The 22,763-nt window shown below is 36.2% G+C and overlaps 1 protein-coding gene across 5 annotated transcripts in view, besides 2 other annotated features; it reads left to right on the top strand.

Annotated features, from left to right (window-relative positions):
• The window catches only part of MARCHF1 (membrane associated ring-CH-type finger 1), an 859,722-nt gene that overhangs the window by 240,745 nt on the left and 596,214 nt on the right, over positions 1-22,763 (top strand). The window lies entirely within an intron of this gene.
• Positions 611-1,200: an enhancer, noted in NCBI's record as "H3K27ac-H3K4me1 hESC enhancer chr4:165063227-165063816 (GRCh37/hg19 assembly coordinates)". NCBI's record gives its function as "activates a minimal SCP1, AML or CMV promoter by ChIP-STARR-seq in naive H9 embryonic stem cells {active_cell/tissue: H9 hESC(naive)}" and the evidence as "EXISTENCE:reporter gene assay evidence [ECO:0000049][PMID:30033119]".
• Positions 1,201-1,790: an enhancer, noted in NCBI's record as "H3K27ac-H3K4me1 hESC enhancer chr4:165062637-165063226 (GRCh37/hg19 assembly coordinates)". NCBI's record gives its function as "activates a minimal SCP1, AML or CMV promoter by ChIP-STARR-seq in naive H9 embryonic stem cells {active_cell/tissue: H9 hESC(naive)}" and the evidence as "EXISTENCE:reporter gene assay evidence [ECO:0000049][PMID:30033119]".

The following is a 22,763-nucleotide window of genomic DNA, read 5'->3' as shown; positions in this document are numbered from 1 at the left end:
GGGAAGTTCTCCTGGATAATATCCTGCAGAGTGTTTTCCAACTTGGTTCCATTCTCCCAGTCACTTTCAGGTACAGCAATCAGACGTAGATTTGGTCTTTTCACATAGTCCCATATTTCTTGGAGGCTTTGCTCATTTCTTTTTATTCTTTTTTCTCTAAACTTCCCTTCTCGCTTCATTTCATTCATTTCATCTTCCATTGCTGATACCCTTTCTTCCAGTTGATCGCATCAGCTCCTGAGGCTTCTGCATTCTTCACTTAGTTCTCGAGCCTTGGTTTTCAGCTCCATCAGCTCCGTTAAGCTCTTCTCTGTTTTGGTTATTCTAGTTATACATTCTTCTAAATTTTTTTCAAAGTTTTCAATTTCTTTGCCTTTGGTTTGAATGTCCTCCCGTAGCTCAGAGTAATTTGATCGTCTGAAGCCTTCTTCTCTCAGCTCGTCAAAGTCATTCTCCGTCCAGCTTTGTTCCATTGCTGGTGAGGAACTGCGTTCCTTTGGAGGAGGAGAGTTGCTCTCCTTTTTAGAGTTTCCAGTTTTTCTGCTGTGTTTTTTCCCCATTTTTGTGGTTTTATCTACTTTTGGTCTTTGATGATGGTGATGTACAGATGGGTTTTTGGTGTGGATGTCCTTTCTGTTTGTTAGTTTTCCTTCTAACAGACAGGACCCTCAGCTGCAGGTCTGTTGGAGTACCTGGCTGTGTGAGGTGTCAGTGTGCCCCTGCTGGGGGGTGCCTCCCAGTTAGGCTGCTGGGGGGTCAGGGGTCAGGGACCCACTTGAGGAGGCTGTCTGCTGGTTCTCAGATCTCCAGCTGCGTGCTGGGAGAACCACTGCTCTCTTCAAAGCTGTCAGACAGGGACATTTAAGTCTGCAGAGGTTACTGCTGTCTTTTTGTTTGTCTGTGCCCTGCCCCCAGAGGTGGAGCCTACAGAGGCAGGCAGGCCTCCTTGAGCTGTGGTGGGCTCCACCCAGTTTGAGCTTCCAGGCTGCTTTGTTTACCTAAGCAAGCCTGGGCAATAGCGGGTGCCCCTCCCCAAGCCTGGCTGCGGCCTTGCAGTTTGATCTCAGACTGCTGTGCTAGCAATCAGCGAGTCTCCGTGGGCATAGGACCCTCCGAGGCAGGTGCAGGATATATTCTCCAGGTGCGCTGTGTTTTAAGCCCGTTGGAAAAGCACAGTATTCGGGTGGGAGTGACACGATTTTCCAGGTGCCGTCTGTCACCCCTTTCTTTGACTGGGAAAGGGAACTCCCTGACCCCTTGTGCTTCCTGAGTGAGGCAATGCCTCGCCCTACTTTGGCTCGCTCACGGTGCGCCCACCCACTGACCTGCGCCCACTGTCTGGCACTCCCTAGTGAGATGAACCCGGTACCTCAGATGGAAATGCAGAAATCACCGGTCTTCTGCGTTGCTCACGCTGGGAGCTGTAGACTGGAGCTGTTCCTATTCGGCCATCTTGGCTCCTCCCCCCAACATATGTAATTTTTAACTGACTTTTAAAATATAGATTGCACTCTGAGTAATTATTTGGGGCACCAGGGTTATTTATAAAGGTGATTTTCAACAGTTATTTCTGCACAGTACCTTTAAGAGGGTATGTGAAGAATTTGTACTTTTACCAAGTTGCCATTTTCCCCAAAGCTTGCGCACCGCCAGGTGAAATCATGGGCTCTATGTTGCGACTTGTAGGGGTGAATGTCTTCTTTTTTCCGTAAGAGAGCTAATCTTGTTGTAAGGTGCAGGTTATAAAAATATGACCAAAGATAGACCAAGGAATAGCTAGGAGCCTGATTTGGTATGGCACAGACTTGTTAATTTTAGTAGAAATGATGGGGGGACATTGTCTATAAATAGGTTTTAGTATGTGACTCTTCTTTGTAAGTAGTTGTCTAAAGACAGCTAAAAAGAAACTTGCTGGGGCTGGTTTTTAGATGAAGCAAATAAAAGTCAACATTGGTTGATCACATTAAAAAGAAAGCAACATCTATGTCAGAGACCCATGATGATCTTAAAATATTAGCTGACAGGAAAAGTTCTAGAAGCCCCCATCCTTAGAAAGTATCAGTAGTGGCATACATTTGCCACAAAGGAAGGATAAGGAAATCATTGATGCCTGTTGCTACAACCAGGAGAAGTGCTGCTGATTAGTTCTCCCCAGTTTTCTCTTTCCACTTAAAGATAAAGTCAGCAAGTGATCTACTGTTAGAAGTCAATTTCAGAAGCTGCCATTGAGAATATACTATCAGGTTATAGGAAAATAGGGTGCTATTATTCAGAGAACCTCTCAACACGTGGGGTAGCAAATAGGTTTCCAGTCTTATGCTAACCCTCATGGATTGTTAGAGACCTCCTGCAGCACTGTCTTGAGAAAATTTAGGAGGTCATGTTCAGGTTAGTTGAGTAAGGATGTTATGATTAGTTAGAGATGTACTTTGTGGATAAGAGTATAGGCATCTAGGTGTAGCATGAGTCACTCTTGACAACTGAGTTCAGTGTGTGTGTGTGTATGTATGTATGTATGTGTGTGTGTATGTTACCAAAACACTGGGGGTTCCATCAAGGTCCTGCTGCTTGCTGCACAGAAAGGAAATGATGGCGACAGGTATTGCCAAGGAAGAAGACTTTAGTTGGGTGCTGTAGCCGAGGAGCTGGCAGATCAGTCTGAAATCCATCTCTCTGACTGACTACAATTAGGAGTTTATATAGAAGAAATATACCTACATGCAGAGAAACAGGAATTAGTGAGGGGTAAGGAAGAGGAGTTAGTCAACAGGAAGCAGGTAGTTCTTTAGGTAATCTGTGGGTGAGGGGTCTGGCATCTCATTGTCCAAATGCAGTGATCCGGTCAGTTTCAGCTCCTTGATACTATCTGGGAGGCCTATTGGTTGGTTTCCTGAGAAAGAAACTCAAGTAAGACAAATGTAAATTTCTCAAGTTCAAGGCTTTGAGGGTTGATTTTTTTGTTTATTCAAAAGAAATGATAAACATCAATTCTATAGGACAATTGGGTCAGTTTCATTTATATATATATATATATAGTGTGTGTGTATGTGTATATATAGTGTGTGTGTATATATGTGTGTGTATGTGTATATGTGTGTGTGTGCATGAGTGTGTGTGTGCCTATGTATCTTTAATATCTAAGGGTATGTTTTACCTCGTATATAGAGAGAAATATTGGTGCTATTAGAAGTCCAAAAACCTGGTAAAAAGTTTAATCCAGAAATGGAGGTCTTAATTTGTTAACTGGTCCTTAGATTTATGATATAGGTTATACCTGAAAAAACAGATCAATTAACAAGCCTTTATTATTGGGGGTTGGGGGAGAAAAATGAAGTGAAAGATGTCATCAATTCCCAGAAATTTGAATGAGTCAAATTTGAAGTCAAATTTTTGTTTGTTTAATATCTCTATTTTCCTAATGGTTGACATGGTTCGTGATATAAACAGTATTAAACATTATTTTTAGCATTTATAATAGCCATTAAATATACATGTTTTATATAGCATTCTTTAAATTTTAGTTCTTTAACATTGGTTTTCCATTCCGCTTAAAGTATCTTCGAATTTTCAAACTAAAGACATTTTCTACTCCTGCGCTGAGTAAGCAACTCTTACAGCAGGGATGAGCAGCTCCTCCTCTAATATCTGGGTTTCTCTCATATAAATACCACAGGTCATTTCTGGCAGTCTACCACATAACTGTACTTTCCCAGCCCCTTTGTGACAGAAGGTTGTCCTTTCTCTTTCTCCCTCTTTCTCCTTTCCTTCTTTTTTTTTTTTTTGACTTTAGATAGCTCAGCTGTTGCTGCCAATCAGCATTTGATGGTTTTGTTTGTTTGTTTCTTTTGATACAGGAAGTCACTAGCTGTTAGATTGTCAACATTTCTTACATGAAAAGGACTGGTTTAATGAATATGAGATTTTCAAAACCTTTTAAAGATCAGTGCTTTCTACTTAAGTTTGGGCACTGAAAGATGGAATATTGCCGTTTTGTGAAGCCACTTTACTGGTGTCCTTCAAGATTTTTTTTTAAAGTAAAGAACACTGCATTTCCTCTGGTACATGGTGTTCATGTGTGTTTATTATTACATATTATCAGGTTCTCTGAGATTTTCTGTGTTATTAACCAGCTAAGTTTCCTAATTTTGCAAAATATTGTACTCATCTTACCACAAAACTTTATACTTTCACAGAACTCTTATGTTTCATGTACTAGACCAAAATAAAATCATTGCTTTAATATACATTTTACATATGCAGAATTCAATTTCAAAGAAGCCAAGTGAGTAGTTAGAATGAGATAACTAAAATTTAAATCCTGGCTTATTTTTGTTATAATAATTTTGTGGTGGCTGTGTCCATGCCTTACCAACTCAGTATTTCAGAATACTTTTTTTTCAAAATCAAATTGTTAGCCATGATAGCTTTCAAATACCTACATGCCTACACAAAAATTTAATCTCTCTAAGATAGCCTTACTTATTGCTGGAAACTTCTCCCAGCAAGGAGCTATCACTTAATATCACTCTGGACAAGCCTCCACATGAGGTGATGAATCTCCCTCTTCAGTTCTTAGCCCTCATGAGATCACCAAGGCAAGTAGAGGAGTGATAATGACTGACACTTGCTTCTGCTGGCACTAACACTCTGCACTGTTCTGCCCATACCGCTTCAACTGAGTTGTGGCCATACCCGTTCCTTAATTTGCTCCTAGCATATCCCCATTTGGTAAGTGCCCAAAACCTGCTACTAATGCAAGTCCTCCAAGAACACCTATATCTCAAAGTCCAGGCCCTACTTCTTGGAAGTGATCTCAAACTCCAAGGTCAGGCCTAGCTCCCTTGCTCCTACTTCTGGTCACAGGATCTCACTCTTCTTTGGCTCACTGACTCTTGAAATCCTTTATCTCCCCTATAAGATTTAGTTTTGTGGTATGTATACTGCCAAACTTAAGTAGTCCACAGAATAAGCTGACGCAGGCTTAGAAGTGTTCTATTTTCCAGGATTAAAAAAAAAAAGAAACTTAACGTTACAATTGCAAAAGAAAAAAAAAACCTAGGTAATGCCAGAGATCAGTAAAAAATAAACCAGATGAAAAAGAACTTAATAAATGAAAATGTCTTATTTGGCCCAATAAGTCCTGTTATAAACATAAATACTCTCACTCCTCCCAACAGCTCACTGGCTGCTGGGGTCCACTGTGATAATTTGACCCTAAACAGCTTTCCTTGGCTTTGTCATTACTACAGTGAGAAACACCTGGAAGAACCTATGAGCCAAGGAGTAAAGCAATGAATAAATTTCAGAAATTACCACCAGGGAAAAATGTGGTTTCATGCCCCTTACTTTGTGCTCATTTCAGGTCAACTTGCTCAAAGAACCTCACAATAAATCTGCTGCTATCAGTTCTTCTTACCAACTTTTTATCATTTCTATGTGTATTTTATTTTATTTTTCTTGCTTTGGTGGCTTAAAGATTTTAGTTCTATCATAACAAGGGAAAATATTCTCCCAAAATCTGGAAACTCTATAATGATATAATACTGGAATTTACTGTTTTATTAATGGTGTACTTTATTAAATGTAATTCCCCAAATTAAGAGGTTAATGTGTTTCTTTTTTATATATGACATGTTTTATTAGGAAAATATATTCTCATATAACCTGAAAAAGCATACAGAGCTTTTATTATTAGATGTTAACCCAATAAACCTAATCCATAGCATTTGGCTGAAAAATCTGAAACGCATTTTCCGCTAATATCGTGAAAACAGGTTGATAGCTGAATTTTCCTTACTGCTATTTAAAAAAATCACTCTGTTGATGTTGCATGAAATATGTTACCATACATTTTATCATCAAGTTTTGTCTGTCATGTTCTATTATCCTACTATCATAGAAATATATTATCATAATTATTTTACTAAGATTAGTTCTCCTTTTGACATATTCTGGAGTTTCAGTCTAGTAAGTAACAAGGCTGTCTGTTAAGGAGAAGAAAAGTCTTTAGGAAAATCCTGACAATTTTAAAGTTAGAAAATGTTTCAGAATTAACATAAGATAGATACCAATGACAAAAAAATACAATAATTATTAGGCAAATAATAAGAGCTGTGAATGTGAATTGACAACATTAAAATAGCAATATTTTTGACTAAGGTAAAGCTTGGCATGTTCAAATTTCAAAATACTGGTTTTTTCCCTTTAGATATGAACAAATTGTTTAGACAATTCGTTTCTTTCAATCCTTTGGGGCCTAACAAAACTTTAACATATCCTTCTTTCATACATGGGAAATTGATGTGTCAAAAGTCTGCATCTGTGTTCCTAAGCTTTGAAATGGTGTAATTTTTTTGATATATCTACCCCCATGTCACAAAACCGCATTCTTCCTACCCCTCTTCTCTTCCATACTACATTGATTCTTTCTTTGGGAATAATTATAGTCAGGGAAACACATAACTTTAACCGTCCCAGGTAACATGAGTTGGTGGACTGCTCATGCTCTGTCTGCCCACTCTCAACTTCACATTCCAGGTGTGTTCATGGGAAGCCAGCCTTGGGGGGCATCAGGTGACATGGAGCATTGCAGCCTCTGGTGGGCCAGCTGAAAGGCTCCGTGGTTGAGGCGTCCCAAGCAGCCTTCTGATGAGTTCCTGAATTGCTGAGTAAGATACACAGCTCTTTGTTAAGTTCCAGGAGGCCTAATTGCTTTCAGTACTCCACTCTCTTCCCTGCTCCCAGCCAATCGGCTCTGCTGAGCCCCTGAGTATTCTGGTGGGGCAAGAAAGAGGTGGCTCTTGAGCAGTGTTATACATATCTGGGGAAGCTGGGTTACTCACTCACTCTCCTCTAACTTTCCCTTGTGGAAGGAGTTTCAGTCCAAGGGATATCTGTTGGCACTTAGCTGGGCCCCTCTGCAGGAAGGATGATGCAAGTAAAGTGAAACTGTTTTTCTTACCTCTTCAATGCATCTATTCTTGGCTTTTTTTTTTTTTTTTTCCACTTCAACTGTTTGCTGGAACTTACTGATTGGACTCCTAGACTCCTACAAAGGCACTCTTGCTGTGGGTTTTTGTCCAAATCGGTGCACTGTGAGAAGAACATAGTAGAAACTATTCTGCCATCATGTCAACGTCACTCTCCCAGTGAGGATATATTTAAACTGATGCTGATCTGCACAGGAAAAAAAAAAATGGAAATTTGATCATTGAAAAAAATATGTGTATAACTGTATCTTTTCTCTGTATCTTTTCATTTTTCTACCTAGAAATCGATGTAGTCTTTCTTACCTAAAGTTTCTAAAGTTATTATTCTAGGGCTTAAGTATAAAAAATATTTACCTTTGGGCCTTTAGAAGAATCTAGATCCCCCTGAAGTGGACCCCTGAACATTCTCATTTATTGAGTTGAGGAAAAACGTAAGTTTCTGCATTTTCACAAGGAATTCCAATAATCCTGGTGTGGATATTTCTTAGACCACATCTTTGAATATTTTAAATAATTATCTCCATCAGTATCAAATGCAGTTATGCATTAAGTAACTTATTTTTGTTGATGGCTGATATAGTCTAGCTCTATGTCCCCAGCCAATTCTCATCTTGAATTGTAATCCCTACAGGTTGGGGGAAGGACCTTGTGGGAGGTGATTGAATCATGGGGGCCTTTCCCCCATGTTCTCATGAGAGTGAGTGAGTTCTCACGAGATCTGGTGGTTTTGTGACAGGCTTTTCCACCCTTCTCTGCACTTCTCTCATTCTTCTTCTCCTTCTTGTTGCCATGTGAAGAAGGATGTGTTTGCTTCCCCTTCCACCATGATTGTGAATTTTCTGAGGCCTCCCCAACCCTGTGGAACTGTGAGTTAATTAAACCTCTTTTCTTTATAAATTACCCAGTCTTGGGTATTTCTTCGTATCAGCATAAGAATGGACTAATACAATGGCTTTAAAAATTTAAGCAGATCCTTCACTGAATTATTGATTGGCTCTCATGGTAAAACAGTGTCAAATATTTTTAAAAGGCAGTGTTCTCTAATTCTGTATATAATGTACTTTATTGCTGTGGGTTGTGTTTCCAAATGGAAGAACTCTATAGTTTTAACTGAACCGTAGTGTGTCTCCAGTATTTCTAATTTACATGGAGCTAAGGAAGCTCTACATAAAATAGAAGTAAGAAAGAAGACACAAGGTGTACTAATAACCAACCAGGAGGACTATGTCTTTTTATTTAAATAAGAGGATCTTAAAGACAATGATCAAAGCAAATTCTTCAAAGGACAAAATAAAATGTGAAGGAAGTATCATGGATACCCATTATCCTGCCTAATTTTGACGATATTGTCCAGATGCAGGTCAACTTGCTCCACACTTTACTTGTTTAGAGATATAGTTGCTCAATTAAACTTAAGCAATTTTTTTTTTTTTTTACTAAGACTGATTCTCTGACAGACTCCATAATACTTGTTTTTGTGCTTTGAATCTCGTATTTTTTTAAGTTGGTAACATATGCTAAAAGAAGCTCAAGGAGTTAAAAAAAGGAGAGAAAAGACAAAAGTAATTCTCTCTTTTATACCAGTATACAGTCCTCAGGTCTCCTCCTTGGAAGCAAATGTTATCAGTCATGTCTATTTCTTAAGTTTATTTCCAGAGTATATTGAATATTGTGGAGTGAGGGCGAGTGTGACGTCAGAAGGAATATAAATAAATGCCAGTCAGGAAATGCCCTTGGTTTCAAATTAGCAGGAGACATGCACTAAAGAATGTCTTAGTAACCTAAATGAGTTAATATTACTAAGCAGCATTTTTACCACCAGATAATGACTTAGATAGCAGAGAAAATGTAATGTATTCTTCAAGGATGCATGTATTCTCTCAGGAAAAGTAAATGAAATTTCTCTTAACAAGTACTGCTTTCAGCAGCCAACAGAAATTTAAATGAGAATGCATTTTAGCATAATGAAAATTACCTGAGTTTTAAAATAACCCTTGGGATTGTAGAAACACTGGCAACCAATCAATTGTTCTTGCAGAGCAAGATCAATGACCACCCTCTTGTAGTAATGTGTTTGGAAAACAATTTGGAGGTAAATGGAGAAATTGCTTTCTGTGACCTATTTATGAACTTTCTTTGTAATATCTGACTAAAAAGATTTTTAGAAAGATTAAAAAATATATAATGGCACCAAAAAGGCAAAAGTTGTAACTAATTATTAAGTGAGAATGACTTTGAAAACAAAACTTTAATTGAATACCTACTACTTATAAGTTACTATGCTAGGGTTATAAAATAACTTTGAGAAATTTTCAATATAATTAAGAAAGTGACATATATGCGAAGAGTATAATCTTTATCTAATACAGTATCTATTTAGAAAATGAGACAGAATTAAGTGGACTCTGTAAATCAGATTCTCTTCAGACCTATGCTACTCTTGGTGTCTTTTTTGCAAAGTGCAGTAGGTCATCTGGGTTAATGGGACCACTAGCAGTTAGCAGGTAGATGGGCAGTGCCCACTGCTGAGATCAGCCAGATGCTCTGCTAACACATACCAAATTTTAAGAGTTTTAGTTCTTTTTTTGGGCTATGTTTCTATCAGAACTTACCGACAGCCTAGGTTAAAAATTTATTTTTGGTAAAGTTACCAATAACTAATCTTTGGTCATTAGAATTCATGTAGGTGCAAATGTATCATTTCTCTTTAGGCAAGATTTCATTCTCTGTTGCACCGTAGATTTGTGTTTATATTTGTGCTTATATTTTAATGTGATGAGACTTTTCTTCAAATAAATTTTATAATGGTTTTGAATTCAATAATATGATAACCCATTTTTCTTGTGCAAGTTCACAACCAATTCAGAGAGAGAGGGAATCACAATGACAGTAGATAAAAATGTCAGTTTTATTCTTGATAAAAGCTAGATTGGAGTACATGGATTCATTGCGCAGTAATAATGGACATGTCCTCCAGTTTTAAACTAGGCAGACTTTTCCACTCAGTCTTTAGAGCAGCTGGGCAACCACAGGTTTTCCCCACTGGGGCAGGTCCTTTACCACCTGTATGGGAGCACCCTAGAATATACGCATTCTGCCGAGTTATCCTTATAAAGGAGTCAGAGCCCTAAAGAGACTGAGCCACATTTTGTCTGTTCTTTCTCCCAAATACACCAGTCAGATAATTTACTCCCTTTCCTCCTTAGAAAGTTGATTTCAGTTGTGGGGCAACTATAGTACAAATTGTGTCTGGGATACTTTATTCCGTCAGAAAGCAAGGAAGCTAAAGACTAATGGAATCTCACGTCAAAAGGAAAAATAACCCAGCTTGAAGATGTTCTTGCTGGATAAATTTATGACACAGTGAGCATGAAAATAAAATACTATGTAAAATTGATTATAATATATATTTTTAAAGAATCCATGGACCCTAATGATAATTTATAAATAAATATACATACACATACATACATATATACATACACAAATATGAAAATGAGAAAGAAGAAAAATACTTATGCAAGATGCACTAGATTATAAAGCTATATGGAATGATAAAACTGGAGATTTAACATTTATAATTAATTCAGGTAAGTGTCATCAGTAAACACTAAAGCCATTATGTCGATGGTCAGTGGAGAACAGGATATTCAAATGTTGGCAAAGGAATCCAACACAGATTGCAGGGGGAAAAATGTGCGCTTAAAATAGCCAGAACTTGCAGTCGCCATCTTAACTAAATAACTGCATTTATAGTTGATGATCACTAATAGTGGGTCAAGGTGGTAAATTTTTACTTTTTGAGGTAATGCAATATGAAGAAAATCACCTCTAATGTATTCTTGCCAACAATGTCAACCATGATCTAATCAAACATCTACATTTAATTAAAGAGAATATAGAAGACAGAGGAAAGGTTAAATGATCCCAAGTGCTAAAAATCACAAATTTGGAATAGCAGGCATTCTACAAAAAGACAGGACTCTTTTGTCAAAAAAAGTGATTGTTTAAAAAAATTAAGGTGAAGAGGCTAAAAGCAAACAAATGCAAAGTATAAGCCTTGATAAGATCCTCGTGAAACGAAGAAAGAGGAAGGAAGACGGGGAGGGAGAAAGGGAGCAAAGAAAGGATTATTTTATCATTACTACAATAATTTGTCTCTCTTGAAGTGTGAAACATTTTTATTACTAGCTAACAGGCAGCTACAGGTTTTTGTTTATTTTGCTTTATGTTGTTCCATTGGCTGTTCTGTGACTAATTTCTTACTGTTAAGAATCAATACTTTTCAAGTAGTAATTCAAGTTTTTATTTATACGTAGAATTTATACATTAATATTCTCAAGTAATTTCTGGAGAGGACTAGTATGTCAATGCATTTCTGTAAAATACATTTGCCTTTTTAATAGAAATTTACATGACATGTATAACATGTATTCAATACACAGACTTCATGTAAGAAATTACATTTTTATGTAAAGCTAATTAATTCACTGAAAACTTCTCAGGCGTTAAACTAATTAATATGGTGGCTGTTTCATAGTATATCCATAAGTTACTTAGAGTAGCAGGCAAAAGAAACAAGTTTGCAAAAAGGGCCATCAGCACAAGAATTTTCAAAGATTTGCTCTTCTCCTTAATAAAACTTTAGATCCTGGGATAGTCACAAATTGTTTCCTATTTCTGTTTGCCTATAATCATACAAAATAAGAGGTATACATTTATATTACCTAAATATGATATTAATTTGTTTTTCTCAATAGCTCTTAAAAACTATTACCTTGAAGTGCATTACAATGCTGTTATAAAAACTGCTCTCTCAAGTTTTAAAACAAATTAGGTCTACAATTATGGGATTGTATTTCCAAATGCCAAACGTAATTTGCTCTGACAGAAAGAATTTTTTCACATAGACAAACATTTCAAGTTGTTCTGTTGTTTATGGAAAATTAAACAGAAAACTTCTCATTTCATACCTGCATATACTTTATTTAGCTTCCTTCCTTCTGCTCTGCAAATGCTTTTATGAAACTGTATCCCATGGCAACCCCCAGTGGCATTCTAGCTCCATGTCTCCCAGTTGAGTTCATCTCTCCCAGGGAAACTACCTTAGCACCTCAAGTAAAGCTTGTTTTCATTAATTTGGAGGGAGTTTGGTTTGGTAGAATTCTCTACACAATTTCTATGATAGGATATATACGTTACATACACATTTATTGATACTTCCAAGAAAATACTTGATTTTCACATGGTTTATGAATCATGTTTAAATCCCAAAGAGGGGAATGAGTCAGGTTATTTTACAAAATCACAAAGAAATGGCAGATAATCATTTTTATCAATGTAAAAGATGTCTCGTATCCTAGAAAGTTACTTAAAATAAAGCTTATAACATTTAAACATGTAATGGGAAGAGAAAAATTCAGGTCCATGTAATTCAGATTTGTAACATATAACGACATCAATCAATGTATTAATTTATGCTGGGGAAAATGTGATATACTGGACAAAACAGTGAACCAAAACCAGCAGAGCTGGGATCTGTTCACAAGGTGTGGCCACTCACAGCCTTAGTATTTAGAGAAGTCATTTAATTTCTGTAAGCCCCAATTTTCCAGATCAGAAACTGAGTGAAACCTCCCAGGGTGTTGTGAAGATAATATGAGAGTCTTATAAAAACTCTTTGTTAAGGACAAAGCATTGTTTAGCGCAGGGTTTATTATTATACTCTTAGGGAAATTGGTATTTTATTGCGAGTGTCATCTATACACAATGAAAACATAATGATATTGCAGCTTTAAGTACATTTATTTGAAACAATAAAATGAAATGAAATTGTTAGAATCTTGAGGAGTGAAAAAGGGAACAGTAAACTGCTTTCTGAATAATCTGTCCTTTCTTCAGAAATCAAAGCACTCTATTCCATAACATTCAGTATCTGAATTTAAAATTGCTTTTATACCTTTTAATACACATCCACATTTTTAAAACCATTTTCAAAGCATAATTATTTTGAAAAATGTGTTAACATTATGTTATAATAAACCACTATGAGGAAACTAAAATCCACATGTGCTTATGTATATTTTTAAAATATTTTATTCCATTTCTCTTTCTGGATATAATCATTGTTTCTTAAGTTTAGAATAATAATGTTTATAAAGTAGTGTGATTTTTTTTATACATTCTAAGGAATTTTATTCAAACCATTTTATTTTATTGCAGATGCTTTTACAAAATCTGAGTCATAAATTACAGATATTCTTGATGAAAATTCAGAACATAGGATTTATTTTCAAAAAGTAAGTGTGATTGTTTAGGACAATTTTCTTTTCTTGTTTTCAAATTTTAAGTTCTGGTTTATATGCGTAGGATGTGCAGGTTTGTTACATAGGTAAATGTGTTCCATGGTGGTTTGCTGCACAGGTCAACCCATTCCCTAGGTTATTAAGCCCAGGATCCATTAGCTATTCTTCCTTATGCTCTCCCTCCCCCAACCACAATAGGTCCCAGTGTATGTTGTTCCCTGGCATGTGTCCATATTGTTCAGCAAAATTTATTTAGAACAATATTACTAAAAAAATTCCACACTTGATTGTACTCACTGCTATGGAATAAACTATGGGAAACAATCTACACTGAGGCAATACTTTCTGTTTTACATGAGAAAATCATATAATCAACTAATTCAAAAAATAATATATATAGCTTGAAATGCTTAGCAATATACTTCAATGATTAATTCTCTGAGACTATGCCATCCCTTTTGATAATTTATTCTCAAATAATTCACTCCAGCATTAAAATTGGAAGGAAGGTCTCAAATTTCTGTTTTTGCTTAACTGTAGCCACATAGAATAGGAAAATACAAATTTACATTAATAAAATATTATGTTAATTCAATTTTCTTAATCAGTTCTTCAAATTAAACATTTTCTTAAAGATTATTACCAAGCCACTATAAAATTGCCTTAATAAGTTCTAAAATAAATTAGAGTTATAATTATGAGATCATATTTCCGAACGACAAATCGCATTTGAGGTGATGAAAATTCCTTCTTCCTCCTTCTTAATCATTATTCTACAACAGGAGAAAAGCCACACAAAAATCCACAGTTCTAGATGAACTTATCTTTTGCTAAAATAACACTTTCAGCTTCTCCATCATTTCTCCAAGGAGAGGTATTCACAAATCAAAACCTGTACTGTTTATCTTCTTCCTTGACTTCACTTTCATAAGCAATCTGATTCAGAAGCCATTAGGTGGGATGAACCAGGTAGGCACTTGTATGGGTGGTAGGGAAGGGAGTTGGAGCTGCTGGACAACAGAACAGTTGTTAAATAGAGCTCAAGAAGAGTAAAGAGGGAGCCTACCTCTTGGGGTGTTGGCTTAGTAGGAGGTATTGGAGTCTGAGTGAGATGACCAGTGTGGCTTTGTAATGCAGATAATCCAATGCTGGCTTTTGGTGCCCAGTAGAATGAGAAGACCACAGGGAGAAGCAGATTATAGCAGATTGTTCATGTTATTTCATGTTTGCAGAAGGACATCTTCAGCATAGAGTGGGAGTGCTGAGTCAATGGGTAAATCCATTAATAATTTTGGAGTTTCTCACCAGCAATATATGTGTATATAAACATTGTTTCCTTACAACATAAAACTTGCCAATATTTCTTCTCAATATTTAAAAAAATTTTGCCAACCTGATAGATGAGAAATAGTATCTCAAGGTATTGTTACTTTTTTTTCATTATGAGTTCATGAGCATCATTTCATAAGTATAAGGGTCATTTGTGTATCTTCTTTTATGAATTCTCTGTTCATATATTTGGCCATTTCTGTGGGATTTTAAGTCTTTTTTCTTCTTAATTTTTAAGAGCATTGTGAATATTAATAACTGTTTTCTGAGAGCTTTTCAGTTTTATCTTTTGAATTTGCATGTTGAATTTTTGTCATTTTAAAAATATGTTATAAAATCTGTATTTTAAATATACAGGTGATTATGTGTGCATTTTCTTTTATTGCTACTGGATTTTCTGTCATTAAAAAATACCTCCATATTATAAGGAATTAATCCATGTTTTCTTCTTGTGTATTCATTCTCTTATTTTTTAGATTTGATGTCTGATGTTCTTAAAGTAATTCTGGTCTGTGGTGTTAGACATAGATCCAATTTTAATTGATTTCCAAATAGCTACACATTTATCCTCACATTTTTGTTTTAAAAATTCATATTCTTCAGAATTATATTGATGAGTCTAATTCTTGAATTTCTACTCTATGTCTATTCATGAGCCAGTACTATCCTATTTTATCTACAGAGGCATTATATTATGTTTTACTGTTTGCTGGGGCTAAGCCCCCTTCATTTTTTTTTCTTTTTCAGGAGGTGCTCACTAATTCTCCATTGTTGTGTCTGCCACTTGTACTTTAGTATCAACCTGTTAGAGTTTAGAAGGAAAATACTTTAGCATGTTGGGGGAATAATTTAAAATTTCTGTCTTACCTTGGATTAAAATTATTGTTTTATGTTTATTGTTTACTTTGCATCTTTCATAAATATTTTGAAGCTTTCTTCACATAATTTTTTGATAAATTTATTCCTAATTCTTTGATCATTTTATTGTTCTCATCACTTCTATAATAAGTGAGTTATTCCCTCTCATGATATATCTTCAATTCTTGAATGTCAGTTTTTTATTTTTCTAGTTTACTACATTTTTTGGTTTAACATTTGGTTCCGCATTGTTTCAGCTCTTGAATATGCCATGTAATACATTTTATCATCTGGAAATATAATTTTCCCCTTTTTTCAATGCTCATATATCTAATTCTTTTATGTGACTGCTTTGGCTAATAAATCTAACACAAGTGAACATAGTGAGCACCATTGTGTTGCTCTTATCTCTTTCAACATGGACAGGCTGAGCATTTTCTAAAATTCTAAGTTCTTCTCTTTTAATAAAAAACTCTAAGTTGTTTCTCTCTTCTTGCATTTTACTTTAAGCTTTTAAGAGAAGACAAGCCACACCTTCAAAACTTTGCTTAGATGCAGCTTCAGGTAAATATCAGCTGGATACTAATTTCATCACTCACAAGTTCTACCTTCCACAAAACACGAGGACAGAAACTCAATTCAGCCATGTTTTTGGCTGCTTTATAACAAGGATCACTGTTTCTCCAGTTCAGTTTCCAATAACATATTCCTCTTTGTTTTGTTTTGTTTTGTTTTGTTTTGAGACGGAGTTTCACTCTGTCGCCCAGGGTAGAGTGCAATGGCACAATCTCTGCTCACTGCAACCTCCGTCACCTGGGTTCAAGCGATTCTCCCACCTCAGCCTCCAGATTAGCTGGGATTACAGGCACCCACCAACATGGTGGGCTAATTTTTGTATTTTGTAGAGCTGGGGTTTCACCATATTGGTCAGGCTGGTCTTGAGCTCCTGACCTCAAGTGATGCGCCTGCCTCGGCCTCCCAAATGTTGGGATTACAGGCATGAGCCACTGCGCAGTCCTCATTTCCTTCTGAGATCTCGTTAGAATGGCATTTACCATCCACATTTCTACCAACATTTTGTTCAGTATTACTCAAGCCTTTTTCCAGAAGACCGAAGCCTTCTCTACAGAAATCCTCTTCTTCTGAGCCCTCACCAGTATCACCCTTAATCTATTCAGAGCAAGGTAGGGTTTTTCTACAACGTATTTCAAAACTCTTCTCATTTCTACCCATTAGCCAATTCCAAAGCCACTTCCACATTTTCAGCCATTTGTTACAGCAGCACCGCCACTTCTCCATACCAATTTTTCTATTTCTGTTCATTTGGGTTGTTTTAACTAAATACCATAAAGTGAGTGACTTATCAACAAAAGGAATTTCTTTTCCTCACAGTTCTGGAGACTGGGACATCCAATATTGAGCACTGGAAGATTCGGTGTCTGATGAGGACCTACTTTCTGGTTCATAAATGTCTCTCTCTCACGGTGTCCTGACATGGTGGAAGGGAAGACATAACTCCCTTGGGTCTATTTTATAACATCATTAATCTCATTCATGAGGGCTCTGCCCTCAGGATCCAATAACCTCCTAAATGTCTCACTCTCTGATACCATCACATTGGTAATTAGATTTCAATGTACGAATTTTGGAAGGACAAAAGCATCCAGACCTTAGCATTATTAACTATGATACTGCTTACAATTAAAGGATGAAGACTGGAACCTTAGTCGTTTGACCCCAGGAATGACTGAGACTTGATCTTCTTCAAACTTACAACATTAACTCAGGGAACATAGGTGTATAACACAGTGGTCTTCAAACTTTTTGACACCAGGGACCAGTCCCGTGGAAGACAGTTTTTCCACAGAATGGGGCAGGGATGGTTTTGGGATGAAACTGTTTCACCTCAGATCACCAGGTATTAGATTCTCATAAGGACTGCACAACCTAGATCCCTTGCATATGCAGTTCACAACAGGGTTTGTGCTCCTATAAGAATCTAATGCCCTGCTGATCTGACAGGAGGCGGAGCTCAGACAGTAATGCTGACTTGTCTGCTGCTCACTTCCTGCTGTGCAGCTCAGTTCTTAAAGGCCACAGGCTGGTACTGGTCCACAGCTGAGGGGTTGGGAATCCCTGGTATAGCAGATCCAACGCAAATGTGAGCTTATCATAAGGTTACTATGTACTGAGTTGAACACTTTGTACCAGGCAGTTGGAATTGTATATATGTAAATAATAATCATTTCAGGAGTGATTTTGGATACCAGAAGTTGTGGCCTGGAATTCATAAGATCTCTTGATGTACATTTTGGATTTCCTATTTTACATTCTTTCTTAACTTAAACTTGGTCCTCAATGAAGTATATTGTGTCTCATGTGCTTGATTGCTATTCTAAACTTCCAATGCAGAGTGGGAGGTGCAATGACTTTTGGGTGAAATGTATATATTTTATTATGTTAAGTATTTATTCATTGAGTCCTATTCATAATGTTTTTATTAAGAATGAATGTTAAATGACAAAAATTTTCAGAACTTATGGAGATGATCATGAAAGTTTTCTCCATAAGTATATTTACCTAATAAATTTTGTAGTCAATTTCCTGATATTGAGGCATTCTCTCACTTTACTGGAATAAACTCCCACCTTTGTAATGATGTTTTAAGTTTTTTATCATTCAGTTGAATTCTATTTTAAAATTTATTTTTATTTTTAATTTTTGTGGGTGAGTACATAGTAGGTCTATATATTTATGGGGCACATGTAATACAGGCATGCAATACGAAATAAGCACATCATGGAGAATGGGGTCTCCATCCCCTCAAGCATTTGTCCTTTGAGTTACAAACAATCCGATTATACTCTAAGTTATTTTAAAATATATAATTATGTTATTGACTATAGTTACCCTATTGTGCTATCAAATAGTAGGTCTTATTCATTCTTTGTATATATTCTTTTTTTAAAGTGCACACTAACTGTCCCCACTTACCCTCCACCCTCCACTATCCTTCCTGGCATTGGTAACAATCCTTCTACTCTCTGTGTCCATGGGTTCAATTGTTTTGATTTTTAGATCCCACAAACAAGTGAGAACATGCAATGTTTGCCTTTTTGTGCCTGGCTTATTTCACTTAAGATAATGATCTCCATTTCCAACCATGTTGTTGTAAATGACTGGATCTCATTATTTTTATGGCAGAATAGTACTCCGTTGTGTATATGTAACACATTTTCTTTATCCATTTGTCTGTCGATGGACACTTATGTTGCTTCAGAATCTTAGCTATTATAAACACTGCTGCAGCAAACATGAGTGCAGATATCTCTTCCACATGCTGATTTTCTTTCTTTTGGGTGTATACCCAGCAGTGGGATTGCTGGATCCTATAGCAGCTCAATTTTTAGTTTTTTGAGGAATATCCAAAGTGTTCTCCATAGTGGTTGTACTAATTTACATTCCCACCAACAGTGTGCCAAGGTTCCCTTTTCTCCACATCCTCACCAGCATTTGTTATTGACTGTCTTTGAATATAAGCCATTTTAAGTGGCTTATATTTAAATTATATTTCATTGTAATTAAATTATATTTCATTGTAATTTTGATTTGCACTTCACTTATGATCAGTGATGTTGAGCGCTTTTTCATATGCCTGTTTGTCATCTGTATGTCTTCTTTTGAGAAATATCTATTCAAATCTTTTGCCCATTTTTGATCAGATTATTACAATTTTTTTCCTGTAGAGTTGATTGAGTTCCTTGTATATTCTGTTATTAATCCTTTGTCAGATGCATAGTTTGCAAATATTTCCTTCCATTCTATGGATTGTCTCTTCACTTTGTTGATTGTTTCCTTTGCTGTGTGGAAGCTTTTTAACTTGATGTGACCCCATTTGTCCATTTTTGCTTTGTTTGCCTATGCTAGTGAGGTATTTCTCAAGAAATCTCTGCCCAGATCAATGTCCTGGAGATTTTCCCCAATATGAAACTATGATTTGATTTTTATATATGGCAAAAGCTAGGGGTCTAGTTTTCTTCTTCTGCATATGAATATCCAGTTTTTCCAGAACCACTTATTGAAGAGACTGTCTTTTCCCCAGTGTATGTTCTTGGCATCTTTGTCAAAAATGAGTTCACTGTGGTGTGTAGATTTGTTTCTGCATACTCGATTCTGTTCCATTGGTCTATATGTCTGTTTTTATGCTAGCACCATGCTGCTTGGTTACTATAGCTTTGCAGTACAATTTCAAATCAGGTAATGTGATTAAACCAGTTTTGTTCTTTTTGCTTAGGATAGCTTTGGGTATTCTGGGTCTTTTATGGTTCCATATAAATTTTAGGATTTTAAATTTTTATTTCTGTGAAGAATGTCAGTGGTAGAGATTGCATTGAATCTATAGATTGCTTTCGGTAGTATGGGTATTTTAACAATATTTATTTTTCTAATCCTTAAACGTGGAGTATTTTTCCATCTTTTGGGGTCCTCTTCAACTGCTTTCATCAGTGTTTTACAGTTTTCATTATAGAGGTCTTTTACTTATTTGGTTAATTCCTAGGTACTTAATTTTGTGTGTGGCTATTGTAAATTGGATTACTTTTTAAAATTTCATTTTCACATTATTCACTGTTGGCATATAGAAAGGCTACTGGTTTTTCTATGTTCATTTTGTATCCTACAACTTTAATGAATTTGCTTACGAGTTCTAATAGTTTTCTTGTGGAGTCTTAAGGTTTTCCCAAATATAAGATCATATCATCTGAAAACAAGGATAATTTGACTTCTTCCTTTCCAGTTTGGATGCCCTTTATTTCTTTCTTGAAATTCTTGAATTTCTTGAATTGCTTTCTTGTCTGATTACTCTAGCTAACACTTCCAGTACTTTGATGAATAACGGTGGTGATAGTGGGCATCCTTGTCGTGTTCCAGATGTTAGAGGAAAGGCTTTCAGTTTTTCACTACTCAGTACGATACTTGCTGTAGGTCTGTTGAAGAGGCTATGTTGTCTGGGGTATATGGCCTGGGGTTCATCATCTTGAGCCAGGAAAATTTAGGACACGAAAACACACAAGAAGTTTAGGGGCAGAGATTAAACAGGCAGAAGTGAAGAGAAAGAGAAACAGCTCTCTCTAGAGAGAGAGAGGGGTCTCCCAGCAGAAAAGACTGGTGGGCAGTGGATGCGACAGGTTTTGTAGTCAGGTTTGAGGAAGCAGTGTCTGATTTATATAGGGCTCATAGATTGGTTCTATCAGGTATGATGTTTACATAGCATGCGGGAAGGCTGGCCTCCCCACCCTAATCTTATTATACAAATGGGCTTTCCAGTTGATCAGCACTATCTTATATGCTCCTTACTGTACATGCGGCTGACAAAGAGAAGGAAAGATGGAGCCGCCATCTTGAACATTATTGGCACAAATGCCAATATCTATGTCTGCAGCTTGAATTTACAGGCTACTCTTAGTTAGAAAGGAAAATAAGTTGGGGTTGCTTTTCATTAAAAGGAAAATCTTACTGAGGACTTCCGTATCCTCACTATCTGGCTAAGTAAATGTTTCTTAACTCTTGTATCACTGTCATAAATAGCTTTCATTATGTTGAGGCATGTTCCTTTTATCCCCAGTTTTTTTAGGGTTCTTATTATGGAGGGATGTTGAATTTTATTAAATGCTTTTTCAGCATTGATTAAAATGGTCATATGGTTTTTGTCCTTCATTCTGTTGGCATGGTGTATCACATTGATTGATTTGTGTATGTTGAACCATACTTGCATCCCTGGGATAAATCCCACTTGGTCATGATGAATATCTTCCTAATGTATTGGTGATTTCAGTTTGCTAGTATTTTGTTAATGATTTTTGCATCAATATTCATCAGAGATATTGGCCTGTAGTTTCATTTTTTTTAATATGTCTTTGTCTAGTTTTGATATCAGGATAATACTGATGTTGTAGAGTGAATTTGGAAGTAATCTCTCCTTCTCTAGTTTTTGAATAGCTGGAGTGGGGTTGATATTAGTTCTTCTTTGAATTTTTGATGGAATTCAACAGTGAGGCCAACAGATCCTGCGCTTTTCTTTCTAGGAGACTTTTTACTAGAGTTTTGATCTTGTTACTGGTTACTGGTTTGATATGGTTTGGCTGTGGCCCCACCCAAATCTCATCTTTAATTGTGCTTCCCATAATCCTCACATGTCATGGGAGGGAGCTGGTGGGAGGTAATTGAATCATGGGGGTGGATTCCCCCATGCTGTTCTCATGACAGTGAGTGAGTTCTCATGAGATCTGATGGTTTTGTAAGGGCTTTTTCCCCCTTTGCTCAGCACATCTCTCTCTTGCTGCCTTGTGAAGAAGGACGTGTTTTCTTCCCCTTCCACCATGATTGTAAGTTTCCTGAGTCCTCTTCAGCCATGCAGAACTATCAGTCAATTAAACCTCTTTCCTTTATAAATTACCCAGTCTTGGGCAGTTCTTTATAGCAGCGTGAGAATGGAGAATACAGGTCTGTTCAGGTTTTGGATTTTTTCCTGGTTCAATCTTGGTAGGTTGTATGCATCTAGAAATTTGTCCATTTCTTCTAGATTTTCCAATTTTTGGCAGATAATTGCTCATAGTAGCCACAAACGATCCTTTCAGCTTCTGAAGTATCACTTGTAATATCTCCTTTTTTATTTCTGATTTTATTTCAATCTTATCTCTTTTTTCTTCAACTGGCTAAAGGTTTGTAAATTTCTTTTAACTTTTCAAAAAAACAACTTTTTGTTTCCTTGATATTTTTTATTTCCTTTATTTCAAATTTATTTATTTCTGTTCTGATCTTTATTATTTCTTTTCTTCTACTAATTTTGGGTTTGGTTTGCTCTTGTTTTCTAGTTATTCAAAATGCATCATTAGATTATTTAAAGTTTTTTTCTCTTTTTTGATCTAGGCACTTATAGCTATCAACTTCCCTCTTAGTACTGCTTTTGCTATATCTCATAGGTTTTGGTATGTTGTGTTTTCATCATCACTTGTTTTAAGAAAATGTTTTATTTCCTTCTTAATATCTTTATTGACCCACTGGTCATTCGGGAGCATATTGTTTAATTTCCATGTATTTGCATCATTTTCTAAATTCCTCCTGTTATTAATTTCTAGTTTTATTCAGTTGTGGTAAGAGAGGATGCTTGATATTATTTCCATTTTTTGGTATGTTTTGACTCATTTTGTGACTTAATGTATAGTCAGTCCTTAAGAATGATCCACGTGCTGAGGAAAAGAATGTGTATTCTGCAGTTCTTGGA

The sequence above is a fragment of the Homo sapiens genome, chromosome 4 (assembly GCF_000001405.40).
Source record: "Homo sapiens chromosome 4, GRCh38.p14 Primary Assembly".
Lineage (NCBI taxonomy): Eukaryota > Metazoa > Chordata > Mammalia > Primates > Hominidae > Homo > Homo sapiens.
This window is presented reverse-complemented; position numbering and strand designations above follow the sequence as displayed.